Source organism: Homo sapiens, chromosome 11, assembly GCF_000001405.40.
Source record: "Homo sapiens chromosome 11, GRCh38.p14 Primary Assembly".
Classification (NCBI taxonomy): Eukaryota; Metazoa; Chordata; class Mammalia; order Primates; family Hominidae; genus Homo; species Homo sapiens.
Genome location: NC_000011.10, coordinates 74,995,653 through 75,015,791, shown reverse-complemented (window position 1 = coordinate 75,015,791; position 20,139 = coordinate 74,995,653). Strand labels below are relative to the sequence as shown.

The following is a 20,139-nucleotide window of genomic DNA, read 5'->3' as shown; positions in this document are numbered from 1 at the left end:
GGACACAAGTTGGACACCTGTTTGGGAAGTGAAGCTTGATTCCATAGGAACAGTAGTAGTAACAGTCTGTATTCCTCCTACCTCATGAGGCTGGCAAAAGTGTGAGTAGGAGGCAGGTAAGGTAATATATGAAGAAGTAAGTACCATAACATAATTCTACTCCAAGAGTGGTCTGTGCACCTGCAGCATCGGCATTACTTGGGAACTTGTTACAAATGCAAATGTTCAGGTCCCATCCCAGATTTACCGAATTAAATTCTTGTGGAGGGGGAAGCTTGAGGGGCAGTGGGTGGGGCCAGGAAACTTTTTTTGTTTTTTTAAAAACCTCTTCAGGTGATTCATATGCACACATAAATTTGAAGGTATTGCTAACACGTCTTAGTTCAGGCTACTATAACAAAAACACCTTAGACTAGGCAATTTTTAAACAGACACTTATTGCTCAGTGTTCTGGAGGCTGAAAAGTATAAGATCAAGCTACCAGCAGATTTGGTGTCTGGTGACGGTTTGCTTTCTGCCTCACAGATGGCACCCTGTTGCTGCATCCTCACATGACTGAAGGGCAAAGGGGCTAACAAGCCTCTTCGGGTCTTTTATAAGGTCACCAATCCCATTGATGAGGACTCTGCCCTCATGACCTCATCACCTCCCAAAGACCCCACCTCTTAAGACCATCATCTTGGGTGTTAGGTTTCAACATATGAATTTGCGGAGGACACATATATCCAGACCATCACATACACATTGCGCACACATTATGGGCTAGTATGATTACTGTAGGAAAAAATAATAATCAAGGCAGCTCCCATGTTTTGAACATCTTCTATGTGCCAAAGGTTTAAACTTTTATCTAAAAAAGTTTTATCTATCTGCAACTTGTGACTCAGAGATAAAAGGTATTTTTATTATTCTTTTTTTCTTTTTTTGAGGCAGGGTCTCACTCTGTTGCCCAGGTTGGAGTGCAATGGCGCAATCACAGCTCACAGCAGCCTCAACCTCCTGGGCCTCACGTGGTCCTCCCACCTCAGCCTCTCGAGTAGCTGGGACTACAGGTGCGTGCCCCTACACCTGGCTAATTTTTGTATTTTTTTGTTGAGACAGGGTTTCACCATGTTGCCCAGGCTGGTCTTGAACTCCTCACCTACCTTTGCCTCCCAAAGTGCTGGGATTACAGGCATGAGCTACCATGCCCAGCCTATTCTAGTTTTTACAGATGAAAAACCTATATTTTCCCAAGTGACTCAATCTTTCCAGGGCTCAGTTTCCTGATTTGCAGGTTGGGGACAATGCCTTGCTTCTTTGGCTGTTGTGAGGATTAGGGATGATGTGTGAAGGAACATCCACATTGCAATGGTGGGCTGAGACCTAGTCACTGGGTACAGCTTCAGAGACTGCCCCATAGTGGGGAAAGGCAGAGACAGGGTTACTGGCTGTAGTCCCAAACAGAATCTATCTCCAACTTGTGACTCAGAGATCTGCCTCGTGTCTGAGGCCTCTGGCACTAAGTCAGCTTCATCTGCTATCAAGTTCTGTTTACACCTTAAGAGAATCCAGGTTCTCATTTCTGATTCTATTCCTAGTTGGTGACAACAGAAACTATGTTTAGGATGACTCTGAGTCTTGGAAGCCATCTGATCTGAAGCTTGGGGGCACTGGAAAATAATCTCCAGCTAGGTCTGGGCTTCCAAGGAGAGAAATGAATGCATTTCTCTTGGATAAAATGGAAGGGGGAAACCTTTGGTTTGAGAGGTGACTCTAGTGCACTGTAAGATACATTATTACAGTTGCCTCATCAGCTGCCTCTTACCAGCTGCTGAATGTCCACCATGTTCCAAGGACTTAAGAGGCACTATCTTTGCCTCATATCAACCTGCAAGGTAAACATTGCCCCTCAGTTCTGCCTCTTCTTTGCTATACGACAAAAACAGAGGTTTTTGTCACACTTACTGGTTGTGTGACATTGGAATGTATTGTGTAACCTTGCTGAATCTCAGCTTTCCTAACTCTAAACAGGCTTGCTGAATTAAGCGAGAGAATGTATGTATAACCCAAAGTACATAGTAGGCACTTTACAAATGTTATTTCCCTTGTACTCTTCTTCCTATACTGTAATATACCTGGCCTTGTGGTGGGCAGAGGACAGAGACCACTCAGACCAAGTCCCTTCCCAACTACTTGGGGCTGAGATTTCCCTCTTCCATACCCAGGCTGGGTTGTTCCTCATAGCAGGGGAGCAAAAAGTCTGGGGCACAGTCAGAAGGTTGGTGAAAATCATCAGGCCTGCAGTTGCTAAGGATGGACTGAGGCAAGGCATGACGGTCGTCCACCTTGGAGTTCCCTCCTCAGTGGGCCCTGCCTTCCTCCCCTCTTTCTGCATCACTCTCATTCTTAGCATCCAACAGTCAAATCTTGCCAGTGCTGAAGGATAATGGAGATCAAAGGGAGGATGGCAATTTATCTTCTTCCTATTGACACAACACTTCACTGTTTTCTAAACCCTTTTGAGGATTCACTGACTCATCAGATCTACACCACTCTCTGGTGAGGGGGCTGGGCAAGGGTTGTGCTCATGATAGAGCTGAATCAACTGGTTCCCAGGAGGGCCAGTGACTTGCACAAAGTCATCCATCAGGTCACTGACAAGCTCTAGGACAAGGACCTTGAACTCCTGGCTCCTCCTAGTCCAGTTCTCTCTCTGTTCTAGCCCAATGTCTCTCCTGGTAATGTACTGTTAGGTAATACTGTTTATCAAACTTTAGTATTTAAAGTAATTTGTCAGACAATCTTCATGCGACATCACCAACAGGTTAACAAAGCCATTAAAGCTCCTAGTGATTGGAACCTGCAAACATGCCACTAGAACATAGCGAAGGTGATCAACCTGTGATTGTGTTGCCTCACTTAAGATGTGTACGCTGCCTGTTGCACAGCTCTTCCTTCAATTCCAAAAGCAAACTCTCTCACTTTGGGAGGTACTGTGTCAGTTACTATCACAGTGCTCGTTGCTACTTTTGATCAACTTTATACCCTCGTTCCAGAGCTTAAAGAATTCATTACTCCAGACAGATCAGTCTTGGGAAAAGAGGGTCAAAATGCTCCATGGTTCATGGCTGACTGGAACAAAATGAGCAACTTCAACACAAGTGCAAAGTCGCTAAAGCTGTCTTCTGATATATTACATTGTGTGCAAGCTGAGTGGCAATCCAATGCGACAAATCGCCAAAAGGTTTAATACTCTACTATCTACCGTCAGGCCTGGAGGTGTCTCTGTCAGTCGATCTAGATCCTGTGTGTGACTTTAAAGAGGCTGCATCATGGTTAGCATGCAAAGGCCTTGACATCAAAATCACATACTTTCGTTTTAAACTTGATGCTCACCCAAGCCTACGGATGACCCCGTGTACCTTTATAAGCCAATTTAAACTCATTGCCACATTTTCTGAAATGACACCATATGTGACAATGCATAGGTTCATTGAGGAAGGTTTCAACCATGCAGCTTTGTTGACTGGAGTAGGTCATGACATCATGAGGTTCCTGATGGTCAGAAGATGCCTGATTGAGGAAAATGGTGAGGAACTATTTCCTTTCCTCAAAGTATTTAGGCTACGAGGATGTGAGGAATTACCACCCGCTAAGTCCCCAAACCTCTGCATGGCTGTAAATGCATGCAGACGGAAACTGGACACGTCACTCAGGGACTATCAATCAACCAAGGAATCTTTGTCAAAACTGCCAGATCATGATGTTGATGAAGCAGTCTCAAAGCCACCCCTCAAGAAGGCACTTATAAGCAAAGAGGACGAAGATGGATTACAAACTGCATACAACGTAACCAAAGAGGAGATCAAGGTAGCTGTAACACCCAAGCCAGGCAATGAGCAAGTGGGGATTCTATCAAGGCTTCTTGAGGCAATAGAGGCAAGAGAGTGCATGCAAACTTAGGAAAAAAAAAAAGTTAACTCCTCATGGCTTACATTTCAGTTCCAGGTAGTGACTAACAAGTTTAGGTACCAATTAATCAAGTTTCTGTGAGGATGGGTACTTAAATTCTTTTGGTTGCAAGCTACATATATAGATATGTCTAATTCAAGCTAGCTTAAGAAATAAAGGCTGGTGGGTCACTGGTTCCCACAACAGTGAAGGACCCTACTGGCTATCATCAGGACTCTTGCCGCCTCTCAACCCTTATCAGTTTCTGCCTGGCTCCCTTCTTTCAGTTTTCTACTGACACAGGCATTCTCCACCAGCCAAGGATGTTTTTCTGTGATTCAGCTTTCCAAAAGTGCTGGGATTGCAGGTATGAACCACCATGCCCAGCCTGAAAGCTTTCCAATAGTGAAATTAAGAGAGCAGACTGACCTACTGACAGAGCTTAAGGAGTTATGCTGAAAAATTTGGCCAAATTCAGTAGTGCCTTAAACGTCTCAATGGAACAAACAAAGTCAAGTAAAAATTAGCAGTTAAGTTAAAGCTATCATTCCACTTGATTTGGCTGTTAATAAATATTTGTGGCCCCTTCAGCTACAAGTTGAGAATAATCTCAAGGTGTTTTGAAAAAAGGGTAAGATATGCAGTGGCAAGCACCAGCACTGCTGTCAGTGGTGACTCTGTACCTCTGGCTCCTCCTCTTAAAAGCTAGTGTATGACATTGTATTCCGTAAGCAGGCATTGTAATCCCTGCTCTGCTTCCCTTAATAGGTAATTAAGTTCAAATAACAATGTGTAAAAGTGCAAAGGATTATCATTAGTAAAGTTTCTGAGAGTAAAAGTTCTTATGAAAAACCAAGAAATTGCCTCAAATTCATTTTTTAAAACAAGTTGGGTACAAACTAGATATTAGTATAATAGTCATCTTATAGTTTAAGAAAAAAAAAACAATAGTCACCAGAATTAAGTTCTTTATTCCTCTTTGTTGTTTCAAAGAACGATGGTAGTTTTTATAGTACAGAGTATTTCTGGCACTCAGCATCACAAAGCCAAGACACAGTCAGAACACATCAAGCCTCAGAATCTCCCTTGGAGGCCTGGAAAACTAGTAACTATAGAAAACCCAATTAGGGACAGAGGGAAAATACCAGTGAAGTGAGAACCCCAAATCAAGGCTTGGCTTGATTAGGCTGCTCACTCTTCTGGAATAGGCCATAAATTTTCCCCACTGTGCCTTTTGGGCTGTGATCCTTGGGAAAGCCAGGGACAACCAAGCTTAAGCCAGAGAAAGGCCCATCCCAGGAAGTAGTGTAACTGACCTTGAAGCAGGCCAGAACAGAGAATATACATTGAGGGTGAGTGTTCAGCAGGTTTTGAATGCTACACAATCTACAAAGGGATGCAACATCCTTCTCCCTACAGCGGAACTCCCCCTAGCCTTCTCAATTAGCTCCAGAGGCCAAGGATGGTTGACTCATTCATTCATTCAGTGTATCTTTACTGCTAGCTACTCTGTTTCAGGCCCTACGCTGGGTGCAGAGGACAAAGAGAGGAATCAGACATAGTCCTTACCTTCAGGGAATTCAGAATATGACAGAAAAAAGCTTATATTTTTAGATAAGCCACTGTGATTCAAGGTAAAAAGGACACAGTGAGGAGTCAGTCAAGGAGTTCACAGCCTAGCAGAGGCCTACAGGGCACAACATAGACAATAATACATGGCAGCCTATGGTAAGGACCAAAGGGAGGCCCAGACTGTGAATTCTGGCACTGCAGAGACAAGATGCATGGCCTACTGAAGAGGTGGATTATGGCCTACTCAAGAAGAGTGAGAAGCCTAATCTGGCAAAAGTGAGATATCAATTCCTACTGCCCTGGGGAGGAGGCTGTGGAGACTCAGGTTGACCTTTGTGGGTCCTCTGGGCTACCCAACAGGCAGGGTGAAAAGCCTCTTACCCGTGGCTGAAGCTGCTTGATGTCCTGTGAATATCGGAGGGGAGACTGGTGACCAGGGGAAACAAGTCAAATTAAGCACCCAGACAATGGCCTGAGGTGAATAGTAAGAACATGAACCCAGCCAGTAGGCTGTGTCGGCAGGAGGCTGGCCTGGGTACATACCAGCAGCAGGAGGCCCCTACCCATGCTTCCTGCACTCTCAGTGTTGGGCCATGTGTGCTGGAAGGATCCATTCTGAGTCCAAGGGACAGGAAGGGGGCTCCTGAGGGCAAAGAACAGAGGCCTATGTAGTCCTCTCTACATGCCTGTAGATTATAGGCCACCCTTCTGCTTTCCTCTTTTCTTCACAGCTGCTACCACCTGCCCTGTCTTTTCCATCCTATCAATCTGAGTGGCTGAAATGGGTTCAGTTAGGGTACCACTATCATGGAATAGGTCCCAGGGCCCTGAAGGCCTTGGGTAATTGGCACAGAGTTAGAGTGTCTATAGCTGTCTTTGTTGGTCATCTGGAACTTGGACAAGTTAAGCCAGCTTAAAGTTGCAGTGTTGAGTTAGGACCTTCTCCACAAGCTAAGTGCCGGCCTGTGCAGGTCTCTCTTCCTTCCCACAGGTTTCAGGGAACAGCTCCAGCCTGTTGTCATTTCTTCTTCACAGCAGCTACCACCTACACCATCTCTCTAGCCTAGGCCTCGTGTCTGTGACACTTTCTCTTCCTAAGGTGCCAGGACTCTTCTTCTGATCTGTTTTTTCTTCATAGCTGCCATCACCCACTCTGTTCCTTTCTCAAGTCTTTATTCTGGATTTCCCCTGTTCCCAACCCCCTTTTCTTACTATTCCTGAGATAAGAACACAGGCCTGCCCCATTTAAAGAGTTTCGATGCTAGTCATTAAAGAGAAAAAACATGAGGCAGGGGGAAGAAGTAAGAGGAGGGCAATTTAGAGATGGACCTCTTATGAGTACTGGTATTATACATCTCTGCGTCACAGTGGCACAGACCAAGGTCCCTGCCTTGACTCCCTTCTTGAGTAGTCCTAAAGAAGTTGATATTCTCGGCTGGGCGCAGTAGCTCATGCCTGTATTCCCAGCACTTTGGGAGGCCGAGGCAGGCGAATCACAAGGCTAGGAGTTCGAGACAAGCCTGGCCAACATGGTGAAACCCCGTCTCTACTAAAAATACAAAAAATTAGCTGGGCGTAGTGGCAGGCACCTGTAATCCCAGCTACTTGGGAGGCTGAGGCAGGAGAATTGCTTGAACCCAGGAGGCGGAGACTGCAGTGAGCTGAGATTGTGCCACTGTACTCCAGCCTGGGCGACAGAGTGAGATTCTGTCTCAAAAAAAAAAAAAAAGAAGTTGATATTCTCATTCTTTTCATCCTTTAGCCCTGGTTGTACGACTTGGCCATCCTCCCTATTCCTATCCACTTGCAGTACAGTGTTCAGGAAAGCTTTGCTAAACAAGGAGTTTCTACCACTCAGGAGGGGGCTGCCCTTTTAATCCTCTCCCCTTCCCCAATTCCTCCCTGCACCAATCCTGCCCATCCCTAGACCTCCACCACCCTCCACCTGCCAACTTGACAGAGGTTTTCCCTGACAGTGGGCCTCATATAAGGAAGTAGAGGAAAGTGTGCATTATTTCACCCAACAGCTGGAAGGTCCTACATGCCAGGCTAAATGTAAACATCTTTACATTATAATAGGCAATGGAGAACCACAAATGATTTAGAGCCAAGGAATGGCAGTAGAAAGTACCTTGTATTAGGCACTCAAGAAATATTTAGATAAATGTATACATGAGTGAATAATTGTGTATTGGGAAGATTACCTTGGCAAATGTAGGAGAGGCTAAGGGGATTTTTAAAAGCCACTCTAAGCCATGGCTTAAGCAATCTGCTAAAGTAGGTAAAGTTAATCTCCACTTTTATCCTGTAGGACTCTCTCTACCCAACTAGTGCAACTGTAACCCCTAGTCTCCTAGGCTATATTTCATGACTAAGACTTGTTCTCTGTGGTCATTGTACAACACCAAATATATTTAGTTGATACCAGTTTAAGCATTAGACTCCTAAAATAGGGACAAAAAAATAAATCTCTCATGATAGAATTTCTGTTGCAATAACAGGCTATGGGAGAAACAATCTAAGATAGGAACAACCAACGTGGTATCATCTGAGAGACTCAGCATGAACTAAGTTCAGCACGAAAACCATTAGACAAAAAGGCATCTCTACTTCACAAGTAGTGATTTCCATGGGCCTACACAAATAGGCCTGATTCTGAGATCTGGGGGTCTAGAGATCTTCCTAATGGTGAAGATCTTCTCACAGGTAAAGGAGTAGCTGGGCCAGGACAATATCCTGAGAAAAACAAACTTGAGAGAAACCCAGAAGCCTGGACAAGCCTTGGACAGACGACTCCAGGCATATTGAAGATGCAACTAAGAAAATTACATCAGGAGCTACCATCACCCCAACATATAGCCCAACATCTACAAAGTCTCCCACCAGCTACATTTATTTTCTTGAATTTTCTCGCTCTTCTAGCCCCATAAACTGGTGAACTCCTTGAGGGCAAAGACTGTGGGAAATTCTGTCCAGTGTTTTAAAGTCCTAATCCATGTCCTTTTCCCATCAGGAACCACCCTAATAAATGAACTTCAGCCCATCATCAGGGTAATGCCACCAGAAGCAATACGCACTATTATCCAGTACTACTGGCATTGAGATTCTCATTGTTCTCCCTAGAAAATGATGCTTTCTGGATGAGGAAGAGAAGGTAAGCAGAACTACAAGGCTGTAGAAGGTAGGAGACTTCATGATTCTTCTGTTTTGCTCAATTCCTCTAGGATAGAGAGCCTACAGAACTGAGCATTATTAAAAGGGTGTGGATATTTTTGTTATTAAAAATGGAACAAATCATACAGATCTGGTCTTCCTTCCTGCCATGACACCTGCTTGTAACCTCACACTCGGATGAGGGGTAAGTCATGTGAAAAGGTAAGTCCCCTGGTTTCCATTTTGACATCAGAGTCCTTTATGCAGCCAGGACTTACTGATCATGAAGCATGCAGGCACTATGCTTGTCCTAGGGATGAGAAGATGAGAAATCTTAGAACCAATACTCTCATTTTACAGATGGAAACCTGAGGTCCAGAGAGTTCAGGTGACACATCCAAGGTCCAAAAGCAAGCCAGTGGCAGAGCCAGGACCACATCCTTGTCTTCCAACTCCTAGTTCAGTGCTCTTTCCACTGCAGTAGCTAAGGCAAAATTTTCATTTTGCTCTTTGGAGGAGGAAAAGTGAAAAAAGGTAGGGAACAGAATATTAAGTTTTTTGATTATCTGTAGACTTCAGTAGCTTCTGTTAACCTGTCTGTAACTGCCATTTGCATCTATGGAAATTGGGTCCTAAGCCAATTAATTGCTTTTGAATTGGCTTGGGTTCCTACCAGGGCTGGTGCAGTCCCCCTGCAGGTGACTCAGGATCTCCCGGTGTGTAAACAGGCGGAAGGCAATCTGCTCACACTCTTGCTTGGTCCCACATTCAAACAAACACCCAAACAAGCCCTCCTCCTCCAGAGCAGCCAGATCAGAGTAGCCACAGGGCCCACAGTGCAAGATCCAGGGGCGGGACCAGCAGGCAGCCTCCAAGGGGGTCTGGTTGAGATAGATACCTAGGTCAACCCTCTGTTTCCTACTGGTTGGGTGTGAGTACAAGAGCCATGATTCTGACGGTGTTCCAGCTTCCTCCTCCAGCCTCAGTGAACTGCCTGGAGAGCTCTGCTGAATGGTGGGTGCATCTTTGCTGCTAGAGTCCTGGCACCTATGTGGGATCTCCAGGGGCCGGAAACTTACCACACTCCCTTGGCAACCATGTGGGGGCTCACAGAGCTGTCGACTCAGGGCCAGTCTCTGAAAGCCTTCACCATGGTCAGTGCTGAGCGCCTCTGCCCGGCACCTGTTTGGTGTCCGGGCACTGCAATATAGCACAGGGTGGCCAGCCCTCCCAGTCACCTCTGCCACTTCACATTCTACTGTAACCATGGGCCTAATGAGTCTACCATGGTGCCATGTGACCCCTAGGTCATCACTGTAGATCATCAGAGAATGAGGCCTGGTTTTACATGGTAGCTGGAAGCAAAAGAACCAGGAAGGGATGTAGTAGGTATACGCAGGGATGACCAGTCTCCCTGACTGCAGCTGGATGCCATGACCTGGGCCCACAGCAAATGTGGCCCAGTGCTTCAGCTCTGAGCCAATGACCTCCTCAGTCAAGTCCCTCACCTCACTCCATGAACATCCAGCATCCTGACTGTAGATGAAGCAAAGGCGGGCAGCATTCCTGCCTGACACAATCTGTTGACGCTCTGTGACATGGCCCCGCACACAGATGAAGAACAGGAACACACAACCACTCTTCTGCTCCCATACAGGACAGGGGTTCATGGTCCGATGCCCCGGTAGTGTGGCTTCCATCAGTGGCTTCAGGGGCCCCCACTAGACAAGGAGAAGGGAGAAAGTAGGAGTGAGATACTAATAGGAAAACATGAAGCTCATTAAAAGTATTAGTATTTTTCATAAATAAGAAATAAATGATATTGAAATCTATAAAATCACGAAGGCCTAACTACTCACTAAATTCTCGGATATTACAGGATAACTTACAAAGCTGGAAAGAGACAATGCTAAATGTTGTACAAGCTGTCTCCTCTGTCTGGAATGCTATTCCTCATTTCATCTAGACTTCCAAATCATCCTCCATACCCAACTCAAAAGTCACCTCCTTTATAAAGCCTTCCATGAAACTCACTCTCCTCCCCTAATACATTTATTGTATAACATTGTAACTTTTTATGACTGTCTTCCTTTTCTAGACTATGAGCCTTTTCAGGGCTTATACTATTGGTTACTAATATTGATTCTCCAGCCCCTGGTACATAATAGGTGCTAAATATTTTTACAAAGAAAGAAAGAAAGAAAAAAAAAAGAAAGGAAAGGAAAGAAAGAAAAAAGAAAAGGAAGAAAAGAAAAGCAAGGCAAACAAATACAGAAATTTTAAGCAAATAAAAGGAAATTTAAGACAAATTTTTTTCCCTCCTGTACTACACTGGGAAGGCAATTCATAACTTTTGTTGAAAGCTCAAGCATAGATTCAGAGACACCTAGTTCAAACCATGCTTTCATCACTTATTTTGTGACTATGGGCAAGTTACTTAATCTTACTTTACCTCAATTTCTTTATCAGTTAAATGGAAAATTTAATAACATCCTCACAGAGGAGTTATTATAAGGATACAATGAGATAATGCCTAATCAGACATATTGCAAATAAAGAAAGGTCTAATCTCCCTAACATATTTTCAAAACAATAGTAGAAATTGGTAAGAAAATTTCCAGGAATCCAACAGAAATGGGCAAAGGGCAAGATCAGACAACTCACAGAAAGAGAAAAAAAAGTTCAGCTTCACTCATAAGAGAGAAATGCAAATTAAAACGAAACTGACAATGGCCAGGCACAGTGGCTCATGCTGTAATCCCAGCACTTTAGAATAGCTTGAGTCCAGGAGTTTGAGACCAGTCTGGGCAACATGGCAAAACCCCATCTCTAAAAATAAAAATAAAACAAAATAACTAAATTGACATAACACTTTACATCTATCAAATTAGCAAAATCATAAAGCTTGACAATACTGTGTTGGCAAATGTGAAGAAACTGGACTTTCATATATGGATTGAAGTGCAAATGGTTCAACCTGTATGTAGGACATATATCAAAATTACAAATACATTTATCCTTTCCCATCATGCCCAATTCTGGGAATTCATCCTAAGATATATCTGCTCATCAAATTAAGTATGTATAAGATTATTCAAATGTAGCATTGCTTGAAGTAGCAGAATACTACAAACAACTCAAATATTCGTCAATACAGAATGGGTGAAATGAACATGCAATACATGGGGGAAGACCTTTTTTCCATATATAGTGATATGGAAAGATTTCCATAATTTTTTTTTTTTTGAGATGGAGTCTCTCTGTCAACCAGGCTGCAGTGCAGTGGTGTCATCTCAGCTCACTGCAATCTCTGCCTCCCGAGTTCAAGTGGTTCTCACGCCTCAATCTCCTCAGTAGCTGGGATTACAGGCTTGCACCACCACGTCCAGCTAATTTTTTTATTTTTAGTAGAGATGGGGTTTCACCATGTTGGCCAGGCTGGTCTGAAACTCCTCACCTCAGGTGATCCGCCTGCCTCAGCCTCTCAAAATGCTGGGATTACAGGCGTGAGCCACCGAGCCTGGCCTGATTTTCATAATTTATTCTTAAATAAAGAAAGCAAAATACAGAATAGTGTATGTAGTATGCTACCTTTTGCATCAGAAATGTGGAGGAAAGGGACTTCTGGTTACAGCAAACTAAATAATTAGACCAATCCTTCCACTGAGAACTTGAAAAGATAGATAAAATATTTAAACAAAAACAAAATATCTGAAAGCACCAGAGAGCAAACAAGAGAATGAAGAATGACAGGCTAAGTTCTTTCAGAGAGGTTGGCTGGTCCCTTTTTCCCTTAGGGTATCCTACTAATTCTCAAAGAAGTAACTGAAAGGCTGAGAAGCTGAGCAAGTCATTTGACAACCTTATGGAGCAGAAGGACAAAACTTGAAGGCCTGGTAAACTGTCATGTAATTTGAGATGGAACCTTAAAGGGCCAAATCCAAGGAATAAGGATGGAACTGAGGCAGAACAACCCTTAAAACCATCACTCTAGAAAACTGGTTGACATTATCTATTGAGGTAGAACATACACATACCACATGAGCCAGTAATTCCACTCCTAGCTACATACCCAACAAAATGTATGCCCGCAGTACCAAAAACATGTATAAGAATATTCACAGCAGTATAATCTATACTTATAATAACTAACCCAAGTATCCAACAACAGTAAAATGGATCACTTAATTGTGGTATGTTCATACGATAGAATACTATGTAACAATGAAAAACAAATTAGGGTTACACACAACAATTTGGATAAATCTCAAGAATACTGAACAAAAGCCAGACCAAAAGAATACATAGATTAAAAATAAGCAAAACTAAACTCTAGGGCTATAAATCAACTTAATATAATCAACTTCTCCTTTGGGAAGGAGGGTGGGGCCATAAGAGAAGCTTCTCAGATGCTGACGACATTCTATTTCTTGGAATATTAGTTGTGAGTTCTATATATGAGTCCACAAGTGTTGGCTTTGTCATAAGGGCTCATTGAGCTGACATTTATGTTTTGTGCATTTGACATTTATGTTTTATGTTTTCTGTATATGTTATCACTTCACATTTTTAAAAGTTTTTAAAAGGGCTATTAAGAGTACATACTTCTTTGCTTTGCTACTGCATGAAGCAGCACTGAAGAGATAACAAGAAACAATAGTGATTGCCTATAAGAGGTAGGGGAATGGAAATGAGATATATATCTTTTTATACTTTTTTTATTTTTCAGCTATATGAAATGTATTAACTACCTAAAACAAAAAATAAATTTAAAAAATTAATTTCTGTATAAATGGACAAAACAGATTAAGCAGGCGCAGATCATAGACTCTCAGAGCCATTTGCCTGAGGCCAGGAGTTTGAGATCAACTTGGGCAACATAGTGGGTCCTTATCTCTACAAAACATTTTTTTTTACATGATCTGGGTCTAGATAATTTTTACATTATCTACTTGGAAGTCTGAGGCAGGAGAATCACTTAAGTCCAGGAGTTTGAGGCAGCAGTGAGCTATGATCAATCACTGCACTCCACCCTAGGTGACAGATCAAGACCCTGTTTCAAAAACAAAAAAGAAATCTAAGCCATTATGGACCATAAGGGTTATCTAGTGCTAACTCCCATCCCACGGAAGAGTCCCCTCGCAGTCTTCTGGATAAAAGACCATTCCGTCCTTGAACTAAGCTAGTTCAACAGGGAATTCAAGATCTCTGGGACAGCCCATTCTATACCTGAGTGCCCTGAGCACACTAAACATGCCAGAGATATGTGATCAAGTCAGCTTACTTATTAAGCAGTCTAGTTTTTGAGAAGTCAGAAGTTTAGTCATCCTTAGTGGCTGAGAGAAGAAAATTATTTGAGCCAGGTATATCTAACATACAGTTGACATGAAGATGGAAAAAAGAGTAAACATAGCATGAAAGTCTTGGAATCTAAGATGCTCTCAACTAGCTGGAGCAATGGGACATATAAAACAAGCTGAGGCTTGACAGAGATAAAACAGGTTGTGGCTTAAAAATTTGCATGGGGTAAACTGATTAAAGAACAAATGTAGGCCAGGTGCTGTGGCTTATGCCTGTAATCCTAGTACTTTGGGAGGTCAAGGCGGGTGGATTACTTGAGGTCAGGAGTTTGAGACCAGCCTGGCCAACATGGTGAAACCCTGTCTCTACTAAAAATGCAAAAAAAATTAGCCAGGCATGGTGGCACACACCTGTAGTCCCAGCTACTTGGGAGGCTGTGGCAGGAGAATTGCTTTAACCCAGGAGGGAGAGGTTGCAGTGAGCCGAGTTGACCACTGTACTCCAGCCTGGGTGACAGAGTAAGACTCCATCTCAAAAAAAAAAAAAAGAAAAAAAAAAGAAAAAGAAAAACAAGAACAAACGTAATGGCCAACAAGCATATGAAAACATGTTCAGCATCACTAATTAATGGGGAAATACAACTAAAAAACACAATGAGGTATCACCCTGACAACTATTTGGACAGCTACCACACACACACACCAGAAAATGACAAATGTCGGTGGGGATGTGGAAAACTAGAACCACTGTGTACTGTTGGTAGGAATATAAAATGGTGTAGCCACTATGGAAAATGGCATGCCAGTTTCTCATTACATATAAAATTACCAAGTGATCCAGCAATTCCACTTCTGTGTTTATGTCCAAAAGAATTAAAAGCAAGGTCCCAAAGAGATATTTTCACACCCTTATTCATAGCAATGTTATTCACAATACCCAACAGGCAAAAGCAACCAAAGTATCCATCAAGAGATGAATGGAGCCCGGGCAACATACTGAAACCCCATTTCTACAATAAATAAATAAATAAATAAATAAATAAATAAATAAATAAATTAGCTGGGTATGGTGGCACACACTTGTAGTCCCAGCTACTCAGGAGGCAGAGGATTGCTTGAGCCCAGGAGTTCGAGGTTGCAGAGCCATGATCATGCCACTGCACTCCAGCCTGGGCAACAAAGTGAGACCCTGCCTCAAAAAAAAAAAAAATGTATAAACAAAATATGGTATATACATACAATGATATATTATTCAGCCTTAAATAGGAAGGAAATTCTGATACATGCTACAACATGGATGAAACTTGAGGACATTATATAAGTGAAATAAGCCATCACAAAAAGACAAACACTATACAATTCCACTTATATGAGATATCTAGAGTAGTCAAAATTATAGAAACAGAAAGTAGATTAGTGGTTGCCAGGGACTGAGGAGGGAGAAATGGGGAGCTGTTTAATGGGTGTAGACTTTCAGTTTTGAAAAATCAAAAGTTCTGAAGATTGGGTGCACAATTTGAATATACCTGGCACTACTGAACTATACACTTAAAAATGGTTAGGATGGTAAAATTTATGTTAGATGTATTTTACTACAATTAATTTTTTTTTTAAAAGAATAACAAATGTGAAAAAGACTTGGAGGTTTTGGCTGACCATCTACTCAACATTAGTCAATTGTGCTATGTAGCTACCAAGAAAGTGCTATTTTACTTTCAATTGCATTAAAGGGAATACAAGATAGGAGAGCTCACCTCATTGCTGAGCTGGCCTGTCTACCCTTGGAGTCCCAAGTTCAATTCTGAGTATCCTACTTTAAAAAAGGACACTGCTATCTCAGACCAGATCCCAACGACAGTAATCACAATTTTCAAGGGGCCAGAAACCAAATCAGGACTGTGCCCTAAGAAGTTACAGAAAGAACTGAAGCTGTTTAGCCCAGAAAACAGACTACTCAGAGGGCATGAATACAGCTTTCAGGTACTTCAGAGAGTAGTTCTCTGAAAAAGAGATTTTATCTACATTTTGTATAGACTGACTGCCCCAGAAGGCAGAACAAACCAATGGGTAATTATAGAGAAGTAGAGATCATCTCATTCACACATAAAAACCAGCTGCCACAGCAATCAGGTGCTCACCTGAAGAGTTGTGCAAGGAGACCCTTAATGGAAAATGACAAATGTTTAGTTCTTACTATGTAGTATCTATTATTAATTATATGTTGCAGCTGATGAAACAGAGAAGAGTCAAGTATCCAAGGCCAAAAAGCCAATAAATGATAGGTCTTGACTGACTCCAAAGCCATGCTCTTAATCACTAAGATTTCAGTAACTACCAATAGAATACAGATTTCTATATTGGGAAAGAATTGGGCTCATGATTCTTCTAACTTCAAGATTGTACAATTAAATAAGTCAGAGAATGAAATAAAGAGAGAATGAGTTAAAGTGGACAAGTTTGTGGATGTGTGTGACTACTGAGTAGTGAAGTTATGCAACAGGTGTGGTCTGATAAAAAATGCTTGCTGGGCTCAGTGGCACCTGCCTGTAGTGGCGGCTACTCAGGAGGCTTAGGTGAGAAGATTGCTTGAGGCCAGGAGTTTGAGGCTATAGTATGCAATGATCAAGCCTGTGAATAGCCACTGCACTCCCGCCTGGGCAATGCAGAGAGGGCTCGTCTCTAGACAGACAGACAGACAAACAGACAGTTAAAATTTAAAAGGCTGGGCACAGTGGTGTACACCTGTAGTCGTAGCTACTCAGGAGGCTGAGATAGGAAAATTGCTTGAGCCAGGAGTTCAAGACCAGCCTAGGCAACATAGAAGTTGTCTCTAAAAAATAGGATTAAAAAAAATGCTTAACAGCCTACTGTCTGTGATCAAAAACAGTGCAACATGACGATGACCACAGGCAATGCTTGTCCTAGAAGAAAGGAAAGAGCTAGAATCCCAAGTACTACTGGGCTGTAGGGCTGGGCCTCTGTGGAGGCTAGTTATACATGCAGAAGTCTGGTCCTGGGAGGCCATGAGAAAGACTCATGAGAAGATAAGGTGAAAGAGCAGGAACTGAAAATCCCACAAAGTAAAAAACTTCACCAAGAGAAATGTGAGCCAATGTTATCAAAAGCAAAGACAGGGATTGATGGCAAGGCCCATGTTCAGCAGAATAGCATTTGCACTGTGTACTTTAACAGCAGAAGAAGGTTATCTGCTGTGGATATGAAGATTTAATGGTCAGATTTGAGACATCTGTAGGTAAAAAAGCAGGGTAGGTTAGGAGTATTAAAGTGCCTACTATGTAGATATAGAGAGATGACACAACTATATATTTTTTTTACAAAAGACTCTCAAAACCATTGTCTCATTTGTCTCACTTAAGCTAGCCCTGGGAGAGAGGAAAGCAACAATAAGAAATATAGGCCTATGTGATTTTATTGCACTTTGCTCTACTGCATTTGTCAGATATTGCCACAAAACTGAAGGTTTGTGGCAACCCTGAACTGAGCATGTGCTCACTTCATGTCTTTGTCATGTTTCGGTTAATTCTCACAATATCTCAAACATTGTCATTATTATTAAATCTGTTATGGTGATCTTTCATCAGTGATCTTTGATGTTATTACTGTAATTGTTTTGGAGTATGACAACTGTGCCCATATTACATGGTGAACTTGATAAATGCTATATGTGTCCTGACTGCTTCACCAACCAACTGTTCCCTCATCTCTCTTCCTTTCCTTCAGCCTATTCCCTGAAATGCAACAACATTGAAATTAGGCCAATTAGTAACCCTACAATGGCCTCTAAGTGTTCAAGTGAAAGGAAGAGTCCCCCATCTTTCACTTTAAATCAAAGCTAGAAATGATTAAACTTACGAGGAAGGCATGTTGAAAGCCAAGACAGGCCGATAGCTAGGCCTCTTGTGCCAAACAGCCAAGCTGTAAATGCAAAGAAAAAGTTCTTTTTTTTTTTTGAAACAGAGTCTCCCTTTGTCACCCAGGCTGGAGTGCAGTGGCTCGATCTCTGCTCACTGCAACCCCCGCCTCCTGTGTTCAAGCGATTCTCCTGCCTCAGCCTCCTGAGTAGCTGGGATTACAGGCATGCACCACCATGCCCGGCTAATTTTTTTTTTTTTTTTTTTTTTTGGTATTTTTAGTAGAGACGGGATTTCAGCATGTTGGTCAGGCTGGTCTCGAACTCCTGACCTCGTGATCCGCCTACCTTGGCCTCCCAAAGTGCTGGGATTACAGGCGTGAGCCACCACACCAGGCTGAAAAGTTCTTGAAGGAAATTAAAAGTGCTACTCCAGTGAATACAGGAATGATAAGAAAGCAAAACAGCCTTATTGCTGATAGGGAGAAAGCTTTAGAGGTCTGGATAAAAGATCAGACCAGCCATAGCATTCCCTTAAGACAAAGCCTAAACCAGGGCAAAGTTCTAACTCTCTTCAGTTCTACAAAGGCTGAGAGAGGTATGGAAGCTGCACAAGAAAAGTTGGAAAGTAGCAGAGGATGGTTCATGAGGTTTAAGGCAAGAAGCTGTCTCCGTAACTTAAAAGGGCAAGGTGAAGCAGCAAGTGCTGATGGGAGAAGCTATAGCCAGTTATCCAGAAGATCTAGTTAAGGTAACTGACAAAGGTGGCTACACCAAACAACAGATTTTCCCTGTAGACAAAACAGCCTTCTACTGAAAGATGCCATCTAGGACTTTCATGGCTAGAGAGAAGTCAATGTCTGGCTTCAAACCTTCAAAGGACGGGCTGGTGACTTTAAGTTGAGGTCAATGCTCATTTATCACTCAGAAAATCCTAGGGCTCTTAAGAATTATCCTAAATCTACTCTGCCAGTGCTCTAAAAACAAAGCCTGGATGAAGCACTTCTGTTTACAGCCCCCTGTTGAGACCTACTGCTCAGGAAAAAAGATTCCTTTCAAAATATTACTGGTCATTGACAACGTACCTTGTCATCCAGGAGCTCTGATGGAGATGTATGAGGAGATTAATGTTGTTTTCACGGCCACTAATACAACATCCATTCTGTAGCCCACGGATCAAGGAGTCATTTCAACTTCCAAGTTTCATTATTTAAGAAATATTTCATAAGACTATAGTTGCCATAGATAGTGATTACTCTGATGAATCTGGTCAAAGTAAACTGAAAACCTTCTGGAAAAATTCCACTAGTCTAGATGCCATTCAGAACATTCATGATTCATGGGAGGTCATAATATTAACATTAAGAGACATTGAGAAGTTGATTCCCATACTCATGATTTTGAGGGGTTCAAAACTTCAGTAGAGGAAGTAACTGCAGATATGGTGGAAATAGCAAGAGAATTAGAAGTGGAGCCTGAAGATGTGACTAAATTGCTGCAATCTCATGATAAAACTTGAATAAATGAGTTGCTTCTTATAGATGAGCAAATAAAGTAGTTTTTTGAGATGGGATCTACTTCTGGTGAAGATGCTGTAAACATTGTCAAAATGGCAACAAAGGATTTAAAATATTACATCAACTTAGTTGATAAAGCAGCAGCAGGGTTTGAGAGGATTCATTTATAAGTTCTACTATGGGAAAAATGCTATCAAATTCTGTAGCATTGCATGCTACAGAGAAATCTTTTGTGAAAGGAAGTGTCAACTGTTTCAGCAAACTTCATTGTTGTCTTATTTCTTGTTGGGGGTAGACAGGGTATTGCTCTGTCCCCCAGGCGGGAGGGCAGTGGCACAATCGCAGCTCACTGGAGCCTTGAACTTCTGGGCTCAAGCAATCCTCCCCCTCAGCCTCCCGAGTAGCTGCCACTACAGATGTGTGCCACTAAACCCACCCAATGTTTTTTATTTTTATTAGAGATAAGGTCTTGCTATGTTGCCCAGGCCAGTCTTGAACTCCTGAGCTCAAGCAATCCTCCCACTTTGGCCTCGCAAAGTTCTGGGATTACAGGCATGAGCCACTGTGCCCAGCCCATTGTCTTATTTTAAGAAATTATCTATGTAAGTAAGAAATGCTTCTAGAAAAATAATAATAATAATAATAATAATAATAATACACTAAATCTTCAGCAACCACCACCCTGATAAGTCAGCAGTCACCAACATCAGGGCAAGACCCACTCCAGCAAAAAGATTGACTAGCCAAAGGTTCAAATAATCATTAGCACTTTTCAGCAGTATTTTAAGGTGTG

At 42.4% G+C, this 20,139-nt stretch overlaps 1 protein-coding gene across 12 annotated transcripts in view; it reads right to left on the bottom strand.

The window, feature by feature from the left end:
- Positions 1–20,139, bottom strand: part of NEU3 (neuraminidase 3) — a 40,162-nt gene that overhangs the window by 4,885 nt on the left and 15,138 nt on the right. For 6 of the 12 annotated variants that reach the window (XM_047426298.1, NM_001367860.1, NM_001367863.1 and 3 more), the window contains one exon: positions 4,885–10,379. In XM_047426298.1, the coding sequence (XP_047282254.1) occupies positions 9,300–10,379 (1,080 nt within the window). In that variant the 3' untranslated portion in view covers positions 4,885–9,299. Of the gene's footprint in view, positions 1–4,884; positions 10,380–11,386; positions 14,986–18,914; positions 18,936–20,139 lie in introns of those variants that run through there. The other 6 variants (XM_047426303.1, XM_047426302.1, NM_001367865.1 and 3 more) reach the window with 5 other exon arrangements.